Source organism: Homo sapiens, chromosome 3, assembly GCF_000001405.40.
Source record: "Homo sapiens chromosome 3, GRCh38.p14 Primary Assembly".
In the NCBI taxonomy this organism is placed as follows: domain Eukaryota; kingdom Metazoa; phylum Chordata; class Mammalia; order Primates; family Hominidae; genus Homo; species Homo sapiens.
This window is the reverse complement of record NC_000003.12, coordinates 39466935-39485788: the sequence shown is the minus strand read 5'-3', so window position 1 is coordinate 39485788 and position 18854 is coordinate 39466935. Positions and strand designations below refer to the sequence as shown.

Here is an 18854-nt window from a genome sequence, read left to right as displayed (position 1 = left end):
GGGGAAATGACGTCAGGTAGGGGGAAAGCAGCCAATCAGAGGCACTGGCGAGGGAGGTGGGTCCATTCAACCACCATTGACTGGACTCGCACTTGGTGAGAGGAACGCCCACAGGCCGGTGAGCCCCAGGCTGTCAGAAAGAACCCATGATTTCCTGCAAGTGAGGAGTGCACACGGGTGCTTCTACAAGAGCTATTTTGGAATAATAACTGGGGGTCCAAAGATTCCATTACCGGCCCAGGTTTTCACATATGCCTAACCACAGCCTTCCAAAAACTGCTCAGCCCCAACTCCTTAGCTGTGATAAAAATCATCCATGTTTCCCAAAGAGTAATTTCATTCCACATTCACCAGCTCCCGTAGAGACCTTAGTCTCTAAAACCTTGCTAATCCTCTCAGGCCAGCGGCTGACGACCCTTTCTTCTGAGTGTAGATTTACACAGTAAAAAACAATGGCTTCTGTGTTCATCAGTCCACAGCAGCAAAAACACAAAAATGTAGGACCCCAAGGTTGGCTGTAACTACTACATGCTGTCTCTAAGGATGTCATTATCTGTCTGTCCTTGTTTATCCATTTGTCTCCGTGACAACTATTATGTTTACAAATTAGTACAATAAATGTTGAACAGTAGATTGTTGGTGACAAACCAGTGCCAGGTAATGGAAAATTTCATACACATATTTATTTGGAATCTGGGTGCTTTTCCACAGAAAGCAGCAAGATGTCAAAATCTAATACTGTTGTGGGGACCTGCCAAGACTATGAAAAAATGAAAACATAAGAGAGTCCTTAATTATTTTGAAGGCCCATGTGGGGACACAAAACAAAGCCATGTTAAATGCCCTCATTGTTTTGCTTTGTTTTAGGCAACAAGGACAAACTAATGTGGTCCAAGAACCACACTGCCCACCTGCAACTATCTCATAAAGTTGTGCAAAAGTCCTTTCTGATGAACAAACTCTACCTGCTTCCAGCTATTCTAAGGGAAAGGAAAGGGTGTGACCTACGGTTGTTATCTTTAGCACACAGATAATTTATTTAGCAATTATTTCAGGAGTAAAACCTTCACTTATTGTAGTGGGGCCAGATAAACATTCAAGAAGTGCAGTAGTTTTCTGAATGTTATGTAAATAACATGATACCCTTCAGTTTCTTGTATCTAAAATTATACAATACATGGTTTTAGTTTATGGACACTCAAATTTACCCTGGAATTGTATGTGGATGAATATTCCCACAATTTTCTACAGGCCAAGGGGACAGGCGGGCCCAGCTGGTCTCTCCGTTTATCTGCTGGCTGGCCCTGACTCTAGACTCACTTTCCCCTTATCTATCCTCCACGTTGCCACAGAGATGATGTGAAATTGATTATACCTGTCCCTACTCAAAAACTTTAAGGGTCGCCTCAGTTACAGAACCAAGTCCTTGTTTCTCAATTAATACGGCACATAGACCCCTCAGGGTTTGGTCTCTGTCCTTCACCTCCCACACCATTTCTTGCTGGTACAGGCCAGAAGCATTATCCTGTCATCAGAAGATGGACCTTTCCCTGGAATGCCTTTTCCCTATCATGTCTGTGTGGTAAATACCTATTCATCCTTAACAACCCAGCTGAGGTCTTACCTCATCAGGATTTGATCCCCCAAAAAGATTTGTCCCTCTCTGGGCTATCTTTATAACTTGTACATACTTCTATTTGTGGACTATGTTATAATAATGTGGCTATATGTCTGTGATCTCAGCGTGAGCTCTTTGAGGACAGAGTTTCTGTCTGAATCCTCAGGGTTCTGTTTCACCATCCACTTAATGAACGAACGTTGACACTGATTGGGTTGAAAGTGTCTTAAAATTCCCCAGGTGCTTCTGTCCTCTGGGATGTTATGTAGGACTCGGGCTGCTTTTGTCAGGTTCTCAGCAAGGGTAGTTTAAAAAATTAAGGTTTTAGCATAAAATTGTCTCTCCATAGAAAGCATTATAATTTCAAAGTGTACTAGGTTTTACAATTATTTGCCTTTCTTAATCCAGTGTTTGTGGTGTAAGAAATAAGGAAATAAGGATGATTTGTTTCTCCCTATGAAAATGATGGGATTTTGAATGTACACATACGTAGGTAAAACAAATTCTCTTATAATTTTTTCCTGAATGATGGGGAAGACAACCAATCTCCCAAATTGTATTGTTTTATAGAAAAACCTAAATGATCTGTGGTCATAGCAGGGGACTTAAGAAGAGAACTCAGATTATCTGATGGGCTAATGTATTGCTCCACCTACAACTAGTGAGTGGTGATAGCTACTAAGCTGCCTTGGGTTTTCCAGGGGTTCCATTCTTTGAGAGACAAAGAAGAGGCCAAGCTGGAGACACAAGCTGAAATAAGCACTAGATTGCTGACCACCCTATTCCCAAATTTTGTGTCCAAGACCATCATCTGAGTCACACAATAGCAATTACACTGGTAGACTTCCTCAGCTGAGTGAAATGCCACTTATCTCTGTTCCATTTTGCAATCTCTATGCCTCCATCTTTATATTTACCATGTTATATTAAAACCATTCATTCATTCAAAAAAGCAGTCACTGAGTACATATGATGAGCCAAACATAATGTTAGCCCCTGACAATATGACAATGAACAAAGACAATGAACAATGATCTCAGGAGTGCACATTCTAGCAAGGAGGACACACATTAAACAAGTACCATCTTTAGAAGTAATTGTTTAGAGTCTTGACTAGCACCTTGAAGGAAAAGTACAGGTGGCAATGAGTCCATATAGTTGAGGATCTTAACTAGGATAATAGGTCAGGGAAGGCTTTTTGGAGGGTAGGAGCTGAAGAGTGAGTCAATGTTATTGCAGCAGAGAAAGGAGTAGGCCGAGAGTGTTTGGGACAGAAGGCTCTGAGTTGGGGTTGGGGAGGTATATTTGAGGACTTAGGACAAGGCCAGTGCGGCTGTAACAATGTATATAAGAAGGAGTGGAGCAGGATGGGCTGGAGAGGAAATCAGAGGCTGAGCTGTGAACTGACATGCTAGGTAGATCAAAAAATACTATAAGGGAGGGAAATCCTTAATATACTGAAGGATATTAAAGTAGAAATATGTCATAGTCAGAGGTGCTTTTTTTTTTTTTTTTTTTTGAGACAGAGTGTCGCTCTGTTGCCCAGGCTGGAGTGCAGTGGCGCGATCTCTGCTCACTGCAAGCTCCACCTCCTGGGTTCACGCCATTCTCCTGCCTCAGCCTCCCAAGTAGGTGGGACCACAGGTGTCTGCCACCACGGCCGGCTAATTTTTTTATATTTTTAGTAGAGACGGGGTTTCACCATGTTTGCCAGGATGGTCTTGATCTCATGACCTCATGATCCGCCCACCTCGGCCTCCCAAAGTGCTGGGATTACAGGCATGAGCCACCGTGCCCGACCCAGAGGTGCGTTTTTGTAAGATCACTTCCATAGCTTTGAGGAAAATTGTTTTCATGGGCAAAGCCCATTCCAGGAGGCCATGTGATTAATGAAGGTGGTGACAAAATATTCCAAGAGTAGAATTAACAAGACTTGGTAATTCGTTGCACATAAGAAGTGGTAATGAGGAGGAGTCAAGGGTATATCCAAGGTGTGTCGTTTGAGCAACTAGATGGGTGTTGGAAGTATCTACTAGAGAAAAAGAAGGTTTGGGCGAAAAACAGAAGCATGAGTTCACTTTTAATGGATTCAAGTTGAGGTGTTTGAAGGCTTCTAGATGAAGATGTCATGTGAATAGTTCAGAGGAGAAGTTGGCTCGAGATAGAATTTGAAAGTTGTTGGAGTATAGGTAGCAATTGAAGCCATGAGAGTGGAAGGGATTGCTTTGATGGCTGAATGGGAGAGGTAGAAGAGAAACTAGGAGCATGTGACATCATAGGAATCAAAGGGAAAAAGTATTTCAAAAGACGGAATGCTCAACTTTGTAGAATGATTCTGAGAGGTGGCATGATATGAGGACTACTCGAGTACAGTTGATTAAGTGGTAAGAAAATAATTGGTGGCTTTAGTAAGAGTTGATTCCATGGAGTTGTTGAAACAGAAGTTGAATTTGAGGGTTTATGGAGGGAATAGTGACTAAAGATAGACAGAGAAACTATAGGCAACTCAGCCCAGAAATTTGAGAACAGTGGGAGAGAAGTAGCTAGAGAATCACGTGGTTTGCAAAGGGTTCTTTGTGGGGGCAGAGGGAGATGTTTGGCTGGTTTGTTGAGCTGTTTGTAGTAATGAGATAAATTGGACTATGCATAAGTGCTAATAGGAAGTAGAGAGGAAGAAATAGAAATAATATCAAAAAAGAGAGGAAATAATTAATATTCTTGAGAAAAACCTGAGGAGCTAGAGTGCAGAGCACATGCAAAATGGTTGGTCTTTGTTAGAAGAGAGAAGACTTTTGACAGTATGAAGTCTCCGTCTAATAGTTTCCATTTTTCCAGTGAAATGGAAAGATGCTGAGAATAAGAGAGTTTGAGGCTTGAGAGGAATAGAATGGGTTTAAGAGAGATTTTGTAGAAATTAGACCAGTCAGTTTTGGGAGTCTAGTTGAAGTCACTGACCATTAATTTGCAGAAATACAAATCTGCTCCACTCTGTTTTTCTTTAGTTTTTCTTAGCAGCCTGGGTGTAGACATAGAGGAGATGGATAGGTTCACCCTGGGGTGGAATTCACCAGACAATTTTCAAGAGAAGAATTGAAGTAATGGATCTTAGAATCTATCAGTAATGTGAAGAAAATAGAAGGTAGAAAAAGGTGATAGATGAATGGATAGGTAAATGAATGGGAGGTGAAAGGGCAAGTCAACTAGAAGCACCTAGTGAAAGAAGACTTGTAATGGGATATATATAACAAATGAAAAGAAAGGAAGTTGTGAATGAGATGCTAGACGTTTGCACTGTTTGCTTGATGGAGTAGTTTGAGGTACTGACAATGGTCACAGAATGACAATAGATGGATGAGCAGAGTGGATAATTCACTGGAGTGGTGAACACTTCATTCAAGTAAATAGTAAAGTCACCTAAGTGGAGAGGGAGTGGGCAGCCCAGTAAAAAACCATCAGCGAAGGAGGAGATGTGACTTGGAGGCCCGGTGAAGGCTGCCACAGGAATGGAGCACAAGCTTCAAATTGCAGAGGTTTAACTAGAGGGTGAAGGCACAGTGGCCTAAGGTGGCAGTGGGGAAGACACTGACCCCCCTCTCAAACCTGGAGCTACCTGGAGTGTAAAGTGGCCGCCATTTGAGAGGCTAACAGATAAAGCCTTGTTCTCAGAGAACTGGCTAGATTCAGTTAACACAAAAAGATGGAAGGGCTCTCCTGCAGAAAGTTTGGGAATATAAAGGGAGGAAGTCTGTTTATCAGAGAATGGCTGTTCCGCTGTGCATGATATGTGGGTTTGCCAAGCACAGACACTCGGTGGCTTGGGTCATAGTCCCTCTGGGGTAGAGAAAATTTTTTTTTATATTTCTGCTCCCAGAACCTAGAATAGGGTGAGCCATGTGGACATACTAAAGAAGTGTTTAACTCTTACTGAAAATTTGATTGCTCATTCTTTTGCTGATTCTGCATTCTATTGTGACATTCTGAATACTAGTCATCATTATGCAAAAATTTAGATGCAGATCCAAAAGGCTATAAGAGATTCATTTGTACCTGTATTTTCATCCGTACACATCTGCTGATTGGATCTCTGTTATGAGCTTGTCTTGGTATCATTTGCTTCTTTTTTTTTTTTTCCTAAAAGTGAAGCAGTAGAATATGCTCTGGTTAATATAGTGTTTTGGTTTCTCAGGTTGCAGTTAATTCAAGTGTGTTATACATGGAGCTTCACTCTCATAATCCTAGGGAGGATTATGACGTTTGATCTAGATGCCATCTGCCAGCTGAGGGATGGGGGAAAGATACAGTCACAAAATCACGTGTAAACTTTTAATAACCGCCTTAACATTATACAGAAAAAAAAAAAGCTATATGTCCAGTTAATTCACTGTCATTATATAGAAAATCTGTAGTTCTTTTTTTCATTTCTCCCAGTAAATTTGAGCTTTACAAGCCGAATTTTTGCTTATAAACTTGATAAATGAAATTCCAGAGTCTGGCTCTAAAAATATAAATCTTCACAATCAAATAAATCATCCCAAGAAAGGAGCCTAAGGAATATCCTCCTCCTTTTCTACGGCTCTCAAAGAAGAGATGTGTTCTTTGTGCTGTATATCACATGAAAAAATCTAATTTGATAAAGCATTAAATTGAGAACTTCCAGAGGATATTAATACTGTTTTCATATGAAATATGGAAGTTCATGTGTATTCATAACCTTTGGTCCCATTCCTTATTAATACATATCAGATCTCAGAAGGGCTATTTGAAAAAAAAAAAAAAAGGTCTTATAAGATTATAAAGATTCTAGACACAAAAATAGCTTCCAAAAGAACCCTGTAATTCTAGTTGGTTCTCTTAGTTGATCATTTTTATTCTAGTAATAAGGATGTAATTGAAAACTTTGTGTAATGAACTATAGAAATCTTTGTAAGAGTTTTAAGTGAAATCAGATAAGGATCACTAGCATGTTTCTTTTCTCCCCTCTGCTTGACAGAATAATTGAAATCCTATGAATCTACAAGCTTTCTTATTTAGAAAAATGATCAGGGCCGTGCGCGGTGGCTCAGGCCTATAATCCCAACACTTTGGGAGGCCGAGGCGGGTGGATCACAAGGTCAGGAGTTCGAGACCAGCTTGACCAAGATGGTGAAGCCCCGTCTCTACTAAAAATACAAAAATTAGCCAGGCGTGGTGGCAGGCGCCTGTAATCCCAGCTACTCAGGAGGCTGAGGCAGGAGAATTGCTTGAACCCGGGAGGTGAGGGTTGCAGTGAGCTGAGATTGTGCCACTGCACTTTAGCCTGGGTGACAAAGTGAGACTCCATCTCAAGAAAAAAAAAGAAGAAGAAAAAAAAAGACAAATGATCAGTAGTGATATAGAAGCAAGTATTGAATTTAAACTCCTGCTGAAACAATAAAGCTGAAAAAATATACAGAAGAATTATTCTCAGGCACTGGATGGCAACGATTGCAGGGCTATGATCCTTGAGAGAAAGGAAGCAAAGCAGTTAAACCCCACATTCATCCTGGTTTTTTCTGTGAAGATATTTTTCAATCTGCTGTACAGGGAAAAAAAGAGTCCAAGGAGAGACAGAAAGAAACAGAGGTAGGAGTTAGGGGATGCTAAGGCCGTGGGAATCTGGAAGGGTGGAGGGGAGAATAACAGACAATAGGGAACCACTGGGAAAATATACAGTCATGTGTTGCTTAATGACAGGGCTAAATCCTGAGAACTGAGTCAATAGGCAATTTTGTCATTGCACAAACATCATAGATGCTTTAGCCTGCTACACACCTAGACTATATGGTATAGCCTATTGCTCCCAGGCTACAAACCTGCACAGTATGTAACTGTACTGAATACTGTAGGCAACTGTAACACAATAGTAATTTAAGTATTTGCATATTGAAACATATCTAAAATAGAAAATGTACAGTAAAATACAATATAAAAGATTTAAAATGGTACAGCTATATAGGGCACTTACCATGAATGGAGCTTGCAGACCCAAAAGTTGCTCTGGGTGAATCAGTAAATGAGTGGTGAGTAAATGTGAAGGCCTAGGACATTACAGTGTACCACCATAGACTTTATAAATGCTATATACTTAGGCTACACTAGAATTATTTTTTAAATTTTTTCTTTCTTCAAAAATAAATGTTAGCTTACTGTAACATTTTACTTTATAAACTTAAATTTTCTTAAGTTTTTGACTCTTTTGTAATAACACTTAGCTTAAAACCCATTATATAGCTATAGAAAAGTATTTTGTCTTTATATTCTTATTCTATAAGCTTTTTTCTATTTTTAAAATTTTTAATTTTTAATTTTTTAAACTTTTTTCTTAAAAACTAAGATGCAAACAGACACATTAGCTTAGGCCTACACAGGGTCAAGATAGTCAATATCACTGTCTTCTACCTCCACCTCTCATCCCACTGGAAGTTCTTCAGGGACTATAACACACATGGAGCTGTCATCTCCTATGACAACAATGTCTTCTTCTGGAACACCTCAGGAAGAACCTGCCTGAGGCTGTTTTACAGCTACCTTTTTTTTAATACAAGCAGAAGGAGCACACTCTAAAATAACAATAAAAAGTGTATTATAATAAATACATAAACTAGTAACATATTCATTTATCAGCATTACCAAGTATTATGTACTGTACATAATTGTATGTGCTGTACTTTTATACAATTGGCAGCACAGTAGATTTGTTTACACCAGCATTACCACAAACAGATGAGTAATGTGTTGTGCTATGATGTTATGACAGCCATGGCATCACTAGATGACACGAATTTTTCAGCTCCATTATAATCTTATGGGACCACCACTGTCATTGACCAAAACATTGTTATGCAGTGCATGACTGTATATAATTTCTCTCAGATCCTTGGCCAAATCCAAAGTTGCACAACTGCAGGGTGAAACTATGGGAAGCCCCTTAAAAATTTTTGCTAAGAGGCTGTTAACCAAGTAGAAATATCTGAATTCACATATTAATGAGGAGACACTGTGAGACCTTGGTGAACATCCCAATCTTTCAGTTGAGACCCCAGAAAGCTCTCACCCTAGAATAGGGACAACTCATAGAAGTAAATGCAAAGATAAAATAGGTCTGACCTAGCAAGGCCTAAAACCAAGACTTGACTGGGTCAGAGTGTCTCTGGTAATTTAACATAATCCAGAACCTCTACAATCTATTATCCACAATGTCCAGCATACAATAAGAATTACCAGACACCTAAAGAAACAGGAAAAGGATACCAAATTTTTTTTAATGGTCAATGGAAGCAGACCCAGAGATTATCATTATTGATATGTTAAAATAGAGAAAAGATAAGCATAATGTATGACAAAATGAGGCTTTTCCATAAAGAATAAGAATTTTTTTAAAAAATCAAACAAAATAAATCAATCACAATGTGGGGAAGCAGAGGGAATCCAAGATGAAATGCAGGCTGTGAATAATGAAACTGACTACAATAAATAAATCAAATGAAATGAATCACATAACCACACTGAAGGGAAGGGGGGAAGAAAGGATATGGCTGAAGTAACTTTGAAAAATAGTGTAGATAATCCTACAATAGTAGAATTAAGCAAATAAATACATTATAGATAGTGAGAATCCAGTTTCTTACTATCCAAAGAATGAAGTCACAAAAAAGGAAAGGAAGAAGGCTAGAATGAAACTTGTGCTGCTAGATTGGAGTCAGAAATACAGAAATAAACATAGGTGTGTGCATATGTAAGTTAGTATACACACACAGATTTCCTAGCTCTGTCTGATGAGAAGCTTTAGAAGAAGTAACACCCCAATAGCAAGAAATACACCAGATATGGTTTGGCTTTGTATCCCCACCAAATCTCATGTTAAAATGCAATCCCCAGAGTTGGAGATGGACCCTGGTGGGAGGCGATTGGATCATGGTTTCTCATGAATGGTTTAGCATCATCCCCCTTGGTACTGTCCTCACGATAGTGAGTTCTCATGATATCTGGTTGCTTAAAAGTGTGCAGCACCTCCTCCCTCTCTCTCTCCTGCTCCCACCATCTGAGATGTCTCACTTCCCCTTTGCCTTCTGTGATGATTGGAAGCTTCCTGAGGCCTCTCCAGAAACAGAAGCTGCTATGCTTCCTGTACAGCCTGCAAAACCATGAGCCAACTAAGCTTCTTTTTTCTATAAATTACTCAGTGTCAGATATTTCTTTATAGCAACGTAAGAATGAACTGATACAACAAGTAATAACCAAATTTTGTTTTTTAATTATCATCAGTGTACTAGGCTACACTGGTAAAGTGTCCAATAAAAGGAACCATGGCTCATTAAAGAGGTGATTGATTTGAGACTGAGACAGAGAAAATAGAAGTTTATCCTGGAAAAAATTGTGATGTCAGAAAATGCTCAGAGGGGTTGGCAACATGTGAAAAAGGCACAGGAGCTAACCTAAAAGAGCTCCTACCAAAGTTATTTGAGCAAGAAGGTAAATAAGAATAGTATTGGATTATAAACCAAGGAATAAAATAAATATTGTTGGGCTTATACTGATATAAATAAATAACTGAATAAATAAATAAATGGAGTAGAAGAGATAATCTTCCTTAAAGAATCATTCCAATTAATGAATGTAGAAGTAATGAGAGAAATAGAAAATCACTATTAGAGTACCACAATAATAATTTCTGCAAGCATCATTGACTAATGGATGCTAAAATTAGTAGGTGAAAGTGTAAGGAGAAACACAATATTTGTATCATCTCAAAATATTCCCCCAAGAAATATTTACTAATTAAAAAGAAAAGAATAATCACTTTAAAGTGGAGAAATCTGGGAAGTATCATCTCAGCCAAATGATCAAGGTTAACATCACCAGTAATAAGACAGATCATCCTCGTTTATTCTCTGATATGAGAAGCACACATCATCCCTGTGTAATTCTTTTCAATAATATATAACTTCAACCTAATCATGAGAAGACTTCAGAAAAATTCAAATTGAAGGACACTATACATAACTTTTCAATGTTTTTAAAAAGTCTAAAGGTCATGAAAGACAACGAAAAACTGAGGAATTGTCACAGGTTAGAGAAAATTAAAGAGACCTGATAACTAAATGCAATGCAAGATCCTGGATTAGTACCTGACAGAAATAGGACTTTAGTGGTAAAACTTGTAAAATATGATTAGAGTCTACAGTTAATTAATAATGTATCAATGTTAATTTATTAGTTTTATTAGTTGTGCTACACAGTTACGTAAGATGTTAACATTAAAGAAAGCAATGTAAAGGGCACACTGCATGTATTTGCAACGTGGGTAATATCCCCTCCAAGAAGTAAAAACTGGATCTTGAGGGGAGGCAAAAAAACCTTACTTGTTTTATTTTATTTTTTTAAATCTCAGACCTATGTGAGAATTCTCACTCTTTTTATGTGCAAAGCACAGATATGTACAATACATAAACAGACATACTATACATATGTAGTATTAAAATTTAATGGATGGGGAGAAGCAATTAGGGAAAAATGGCTTTTTAGAGGGATGATGTGTATAAGTTAGGAGTTCCATGTATAGTCGTCTGCCATATAACAACATTTCAGTCAATGAGGGATCATTTAAACAACAGTGGCCCCAGGAAATTATAATGTTGTATTTTTACTGTATCTTTTCTGTTTAGACATACAAATATTTACCGTTGTATTAAGTAGCCTGTACCATCTAGGTTTGTGTAAGTACACTCTATGACGTTCACACAATGACTAAATCGTCTAATATCTCATTTCTCAGAACGTATCTTTGTTGTTAACCAACACATCACTGTAATTTGAGTCTGTGTTTCATTTAAGTTAATGCCATCCATGTGTTTTTATTACAGTAACTTACATAAACCATCAAGAGCCAGTGATTGGAATTTGAGTAATTTGAGTCAGTGTTTCATTTAAGTTAATGCCATTTATATGTTTTTATTACAATAACTTACATAAACCATCAAGTATCAGTGATTGGAGTAGGAACTCTCAAATCCCTTGTTTGGAGCATTCAGAAAACCAGCCAAGTGAAGAAAAATAGAGCTAAAAATAGAGCTAAAAAACATATTTAGCTCCTGTCTCTCTGTGTTTCAACCATATTCAATTGTCTCAATGCGCTATGGTTCCTTCTACCTTGGACTGGTATTTCCAGAAATACCTCCCCAGCTCACTTTACTTGTGTAACACCTGCCCAAGAATACAAGATTTCAAGTCAAATATGCCTCCCTCAGGGAAAACTTTCTTAGCCAGTCTAGTTTAACTCTCAAGCACCCTTATTACACAACCTTATAGCTTCCTGTGCTGCTTTTCCTTTGTTTTTATGGTGTACAGTGTGTGATGTTTTGATACATATATTCTGTGGGAAATGATCTTATTTTCTGTATTCTTTCTTGATGCTCTGGCATCTGGGGCATTGCTGACCCTGGAGACGCTGCCCCTCCCAGGGCTAGCTGATTCCTAGAGATAGCAATTGCCTCCCCTGTGAGCTGCCATTTATATGCAAATCAACCAATCCAGAACCCAAATTCACCAACTACCTCCTTTATTGAGCTCTTACAAGTTGAACTAATATTCTTCTGCCCTTATCCCTCCAGGACCAGATACCAGACAGCTCCTACGCCTCAGAGCCCCATGAAATTATTCAAACTAGCCAATCTTAAGCACGCCTCTCCTGCTTACTCTGCCTAGACCATTTCTCCCAACAAAAACCACAATAAAGGCTCTCACCCATGCTTTTTCACCCTCACTCCTTCTGACTCCTGACCTAAGACCTTAGCGCTTCCCCATGTGGCCAGGTGGCCCTTCCCCATGTTCCCCCTCCTCCTGGGAGTGATGGGTAAAACACTGTCTTTTCAATGGCAACTATCTCCTGATCTGGTTGGCCTCACCATACCTGAACAAAAATAAAATCAGAAGTACCTTTTAAAACGAAGATTCCTTAACCACCCAGAGCACAGCTGACACCAGGTATTTACCTAATGCTTTAAGGGTGACAGAAGCAACAGAAGCCAGAGTGGCCTGCACAGTTATTATAAGAAGTCACTCTTGGAGCACACATGATGGGATCTAATCCCAGGGGCCCAGTCCAGCCCCGCAGATTTCCAGGTTGTGGAAAGCAGCTTAACCCCTATCCACAAGACTCTCTGGCCTCCCAACCCTTCCATGTCCTGGCCCCCAATTATTTTTTTTTCCTTTTTGAGACAAGAGTCCCAGTCTTCTTTTCGAGACAGTCACCCAGGCTCGAGTGCAATGGCACGAATATGTCTTCATACTGCCTTGACCTCCCAGGCTTAAATGATCCTCAAGCCTCAGCCTCCTAAGTAGCTGGAACTGTAGGCACGCACCACCACGCTTGGTTAATTTTTGTATTTTTTGTGGAGATGGGGTCCCCCCATGTTGCCCAGGCTGGTCTTAAACTCCTGAGCTCAAGTGATCTGCCTGCCTCAGCCTCCCAAAGTGCTAGGATTACAGGCATGAGCCACCATGCCTGGCCAGTGGCGCCCAATTTTTTGGCTGAGTGAGAGAAGGGGGCCCTCATTTTTCACTCCAGGATGGTCCATCATGGGAATATCCTTCGAGTAGTCTTTTAAGTAGAAAACACTTTATCAAACTACAGAGTGACTTTTACGGCCCAGATGAAACAGTCATAATAGCTAATGCTACATTTTCCCAGTAGTTGAGTTCCTCAATATTAAATAGCACTATGTACAGAACCCCAAAATTTTAACCTAATTCGATATTTAGGAGAAAAAAGTTAATCTATGTCATCCAGGGAACAGTACTATTAAAGCCACAATATGTTCACTGTACTACAAAGATCATACAATAGGTTAACCAACTGCCCTGCATTTAAGTTTTTTGTGACTTCAGTGTTTTCTCTGCAAAAAATGAAAACAAAAACAAAAAAATGGATATTTTATATTTGTTAATCTAAGGAATTCATTTTAGTAATCTTCTCAAAGTAAAGGAAGTCTGCTGGGAAGTCAAAGCCTCTATCTCCACAATGATAAAACTGCCAGCCACTTCCAAACAGAGGTTCTCTTACTTACAAAGGAAATGAGAGTTCTGTCTCTACCAGGCACCCAAGGGGTAGGGACTTGAAGTTAACCTTGGTGATTCTGAGGAAACCACCACAAGGTTCTCTATAGTAGTTATAGAAAACCCTTTGGACTTGAAGACACCAGAAGCCCTCATCCACCTGCGTGCAAACATTGTGTGGAGAAATGAACTCTGCTCTGCGCTTGCAGAGGTGGTGGATCTGGTAGCTGAGTCAATGCCTCCACACACCTGTTGCTTCTTGGGAGCGCTGTGGTGTCTATATCTCAGTACATGTTAGATTCCTTCTATGCGTAATTACTAGCTCTCTGGATGTGGCCACTGGGCCATTGTAGCAGGTAATGCAGAGCTGAATGGAAACAAGTGCAGGAGGGGCATGCCGGCATGCCAGAAGAGGAGCTGGGAAAGGACTCATGCCTCATGCCAGAGGAGGAGCTGGAAAAGAACTTGGAATGGAGACGTTCCAGACTTGGGGTTGACAGAGACTGAAATACCAAGAGGAGTTTGGTGTCAGCCCATCATATCCTGGTGTAATTGAATTGTTAAGGTGGAAGGGTCAGCCCAGTGGTCTCCAAAGCAGATGTGCCTACCCATGGGAGTTCCCAAGATGTTTCACTGAGGTTCAGAAAGATGAGGTATAAGACTTTTCTTTTGCTGGGTGCAGTGGCTCACGTCTGTAATCCCAGCACTTTGAGAGGCTGAGGCAGGCAGATCACGAGGTCAGGAGATTGAGACCATCCTGGCTAACATGGTGAAACCCCGTCTCTACTAAAAATACAAAAAATTAGCTGGGCGTGGTGGCACGAGCCTGCAGTCCCAGGTACTTGGGAGGCTGAGACAGGAGAATCGCTTGAACCTGGGAGGCAGAGGTTGCAGTGAGCCACTAGGCTGGTGCACTGCACTCCAGCCTAGTGACAGAGTGAGACTCCATCGCAAAAAAAAAAAAAAAGACTTTTCTTTTCATATGTGTTATCTACAAAGATAAAAATGAGATTGTTACATTTAACATTTAATGCATGGGTTGATCCTGCCACCCTCATTCAGCACAAGTTAGCTAGCCACGCCCTGAACAATGGATGGTCATCTGGGTGCCTTCACTTGTCCCTTTGCTCTCAGTATACTGAAAATTATTGAAGATTGAGCCTGGTGAGTGGATTTGTTGATTATATCTTCTGGTTTTTAGCTGTTTTAGCTGAACTTATTCTTTCATAAGGAACTAGTGAATAACTTAAGACTTTTAAGATCATACTGGTAGTAATATAAGCCCAAATTAATTTTTTAATAGGCAGAGCTAACTCTGCCCCTACTACTAGGAAGATCTTTTTATTAAATTAACAAAGAGGAGGAAAAACTAAATTTGACATTGAACTCAATTACTCTCATTAAAAATACAACTGATATTTTTAGTGAGTACAAATAATTTTATACCATTAATAAAAATTATTTTAAAATATTGCTTAGTTCATTTTCAGCTCATCTTTTTAACTTAAATTTTTGTAACTTTAAAGTAAAGTGTGTGATGTATTAGTAAAAAAGAATAATGCATCTCATCCATAAATTCAATAGGCTTATATCATACTTGAGTTCCAGGCTCTGTCATTCACTAGCTGTGTGTAATCATAGGCTAGTCTCTGGATCTCAATTTTCTTCTCTGTAAAATGTGAATGATAGTTCCTACCTCACAGATTTTGTTGAGAAGACTTGTTTTACGAATGTCTGGTACAGCTGAAGGATCTCAGAGTTTTGATTCCTGTCCCCATAAGGGGACAGTTTTTAACAGTTTTGGCCAGTTATTTTGCTAGTTGTCCCTCAATATGGGTGTGGTCTGTAGTTCAGTGCTGAGGTGTGAGTACTAGAACATGTAGGAAACACTTTTGATCAGGAGACTTTTTGCAGCGTTGCCAGAGGTCCGCCTCCTCCACTAGGGCAGACGTCCCCGTCAACCCGCGAAAGGATGCCAGCCAGCCTGGAGTGGCTACCCAGGGAAACTCTATTGAGTTGTATCTGCTTTCAGCAGATGGTTGCACTTAGAAAGGAATTATTATATTTATGAAACTAATACTCAGAGAGCAGTAGACATGACTCCAACACACACAAAGAATCTAAATTGAATACCTCACTTTAAGCCTATAAGATCACATACAGGTCACTGTAATTGCTATTTATAATCCAAGGGCAATACTTACACACTTTTGGTGATTCCTTGGAAATTATCTGTAAAAGCTCTAGATTTTTAATTTTTGGCAATTTGGTGTACAAAGATTTTAGGTACTCATTTAAAATCCTAGTAACTATTAGGTAAACAAGATCTTGAATTTAAAAATTGTATACTCAGATTCAAGTATGAATTTGGATATGTATGATCTAAAATGCAAGCCTATTCCTTTGAAAACTGCATAATTGTGAGAAAACTGCAGACCAAACCCATATTGAGGGACATTTAGCAAAATAACTGGCTTATACTCTCCAAAACTGTCTAGGTCAAAGCTGCCTCAGGTGTGGTTCCAGACTAAAGGAGGCTGAGGGGACAGGACAACAAAAGGTCATGCATGGTTCTCAATTCGCTCCTTGGACAATTGATGAAATCTAGATATCTCTAGATTTAAAAACAGTATTTTCTCAATAGTAATTTTCTAATTTTAATTAATTCCAATTAAAATAAATTTTAATTAATTCCAATTAAAATAAATTTTAATTAATTCCAATTAAAATAAATTTTAGTTAATTCCAATTAAAATAAATTTTAATTAAAATTAATTAGATATAAATATGTGTATATATACATATACACACATATGTATATATATCTATACATATACACACACATATATGTATATATACACACACATATGTATATATGTATATACACACACATGTATATATGTATATACACACACACACATGTATATATGTATACACACACACATATGTATATATGTATATACACACACATATGTATATATGTATATATACACACACATATGTATATATGTATATACACACACACATATGTATATATGTATATACACACACATATGTATATATGTATATATATACACACATATGTATATATGTATATATACACACACATATGTATATATGTATATATACACACACATATGTATATATGTATATATACACACAATGTATATATGTATATATACACACTCATATGTATATATGTATATATACACACACATATGTATATATGTATATATACACACTCATGTATATATGTATATATACACACATATGTAATATGTATACACACACATATGTATATATACACACACATGTATATATGTATATATACACACACATGTATATATGTATATATACACACACATATGTATATATGTATATACACACACATATGTATATATGTATATACACACACATATTTTTATATATACACCCATATGTATGGATACAGAGAGAGAGAAAGAGAATGATAAAGGAAATATGGTAAAACAGGAACATCTGGGTAATTTGGCTGCACCTGAAATTTTCTGTATTGTTTGCAACTTTTCTGAAAATCTGAAACAATTTTTAAAACTCACTCACCAACAAGTTTCCTGTCATTCTAAATACGAAACAGCATATCCGCACACCTGGCAGCAGCCTGCTCTCTGCCTCCCTGATTTATTCACAAAGAATTAAAAAGTCCTTTCCCCGTTTTCCTGCTAGTACTGTAGGCCAAGTTCATTACTCGCCTCCCTGACACATAATATTTTTTCCTTTCTCTGTCATCCATAGAACTGAAAACTCCCTGTTGTTTCTAAGATATTCTGTATCAGACAAAGCATTAGCGCCTTTCCATTTAAGGTTGTTGGTCTACAGGGGGCAGAATTCCGAAAAGATTTGGGCTTTGTTGTTCCATTAAGATCCCCCACACATAAATCCAACTGTATGAGGAAAAAAATTGTTCCTAGATAAGAAGAAAAACTCATTTTTAAATCATGACAAATAATAAAAGAAGAAATAAATTAAAAAAAAAAAAGCAGCAGCAGCAGCAGCATGTACTACCATCCATCTAGCTCCAGGAACATGGGGCTTTGAATCTGAGGAAATCTGAGTAAGGGCTCAGAGCCTCTCTCTGGGCTCAGACGATTTCCAAACATTAGCAGGAACATTCCAGGAGGCCCCCTGCCCACATCAGAATAAACATGGTGTCCTCTGTTCTTGTTTTCTCCATCCTTGTATGTCCTCTCAATCTTGACTATTCTTACAGAAAGTTTTCCCTGGGATATAATGAAATGGCCCATACAAAAAAGTACACTTGTCATTTAAAGATGAAAGTATAAAATGAAGTAAAATAAAAACCAATGGAATCCTCTTACCTTCAAATAGCAGTTGTTGTGTGAAACAGATTCTGCGTCTATACCAGGTCCCTGAGGGTTTGAGCCTACTTCAATGCATGCAGAATATATAGGGAGAGGTTATAGATCTGGGTTTTTCATTACACAAGGTGTTTTTGATGAGTCCTCAGCGAAGATCCACTTAAAAACAAAAGCTACACAAAGACTACAAAAAGGCCACACAAAGTTTAAACAAAAGGCTAAAGAAAGACCAAACAAAAGCCAAAGAAAGTTTAAACAAAGAGCGAAACAAAGATAAAACAAAGGCCAAAGACAAAAACAAAGAGCAAAAGAAAATCTAAACAAAAGCTAAGCTAAGCTATAACCATATCTCACACACACATACACACGCACCCCACATTCACTCTACAGCCCCCCAACATTCACATATTCCAGCCTCCCACCTCCCACATAATCAACACCCCATGTGAAAACTCACCCCTCAAGGTTCATTCCACATAAACTCCAGTTAAGTTCCATGCCAGGTCCAACCACACCACACACCAGCTCACCCTACCAAACCACACACCCTTCCACCAACATGCTATGCCACCACAGCGCCATCCCACCCAGCACCCCATACCTCACTCACACATCACAAGCCATACCCATAAGCCATGAACACAGCTGCAATCACATTGACAAATTCCAGGAGTTTTTATACTCCATGTAGATTAAATACCGATCACACTTCCTTCCCTAAAACACTCATGTATACCCATAGATACACCCCAAAACTAAAATTCACACAAGCATGCCCTTGTACACTTGATTAGCAAGAGTCTAAT

At 38.7% G+C, this 18854-nt stretch overlaps 1 protein-coding gene across 8 annotated transcripts in view, besides 3 other annotated features; it reads right to left on the bottom strand.

Annotated features, from left to right (window-relative positions):
• Window positions 1-18109, bottom strand: part of MOBP (myelin associated oligodendrocyte basic protein) — a 61818-nt gene extending 43709 nt beyond the window's left edge. For 7 of the 8 annotated variants that reach the window (NR_103505.2, NR_103504.2, NR_003090.3 and 4 more), the window contains exons 1-2: window positions 18049-18109; window positions 5666-5749 (exon numbers count right to left, since the gene is read on the bottom strand). The gene's annotated coding sequence lies outside the window, so the exon portion shown is untranslated. The remainder of the gene's footprint in view (window positions 1-5665; window positions 5750-18048) is intronic. The other variant, NM_001278323.2, reaches the window with a different exon arrangement.
• Window positions 11860-12667: an enhancer, noted in NCBI's record as "OCT4-NANOG-H3K27ac hESC enhancer chr3:39514613-39515420 (GRCh37/hg19 assembly coordinates)". NCBI's record gives its function as "activates a minimal SCP1, AML or CMV promoter by ChIP-STARR-seq in primed H9 embryonic stem cells {active_cell/tissue: H9 hESC(primed)}" and the evidence as "EXISTENCE:reporter gene assay evidence [ECO:0000049][PMID:30033119]".
• Window positions 12668-13475: an enhancer, noted in NCBI's record as "H3K27ac hESC enhancer chr3:39513805-39514612 (GRCh37/hg19 assembly coordinates)". NCBI's record gives its function as "activates a minimal SCP1, AML or CMV promoter by ChIP-STARR-seq in primed H9 embryonic stem cells {active_cell/tissue: H9 hESC(primed)}" and the evidence as "EXISTENCE:reporter gene assay evidence [ECO:0000049][PMID:30033119]".
• Window positions 17809-18491: an enhancer, noted in NCBI's record as "NANOG hESC enhancer chr3:39508789-39509471 (GRCh37/hg19 assembly coordinates)". NCBI's record gives its function as "activates a minimal SCP1, AML or CMV promoter by ChIP-STARR-seq in primed H9 embryonic stem cells {active_cell/tissue: H9 hESC(primed)}" and the evidence as "EXISTENCE:reporter gene assay evidence [ECO:0000049][PMID:30033119]".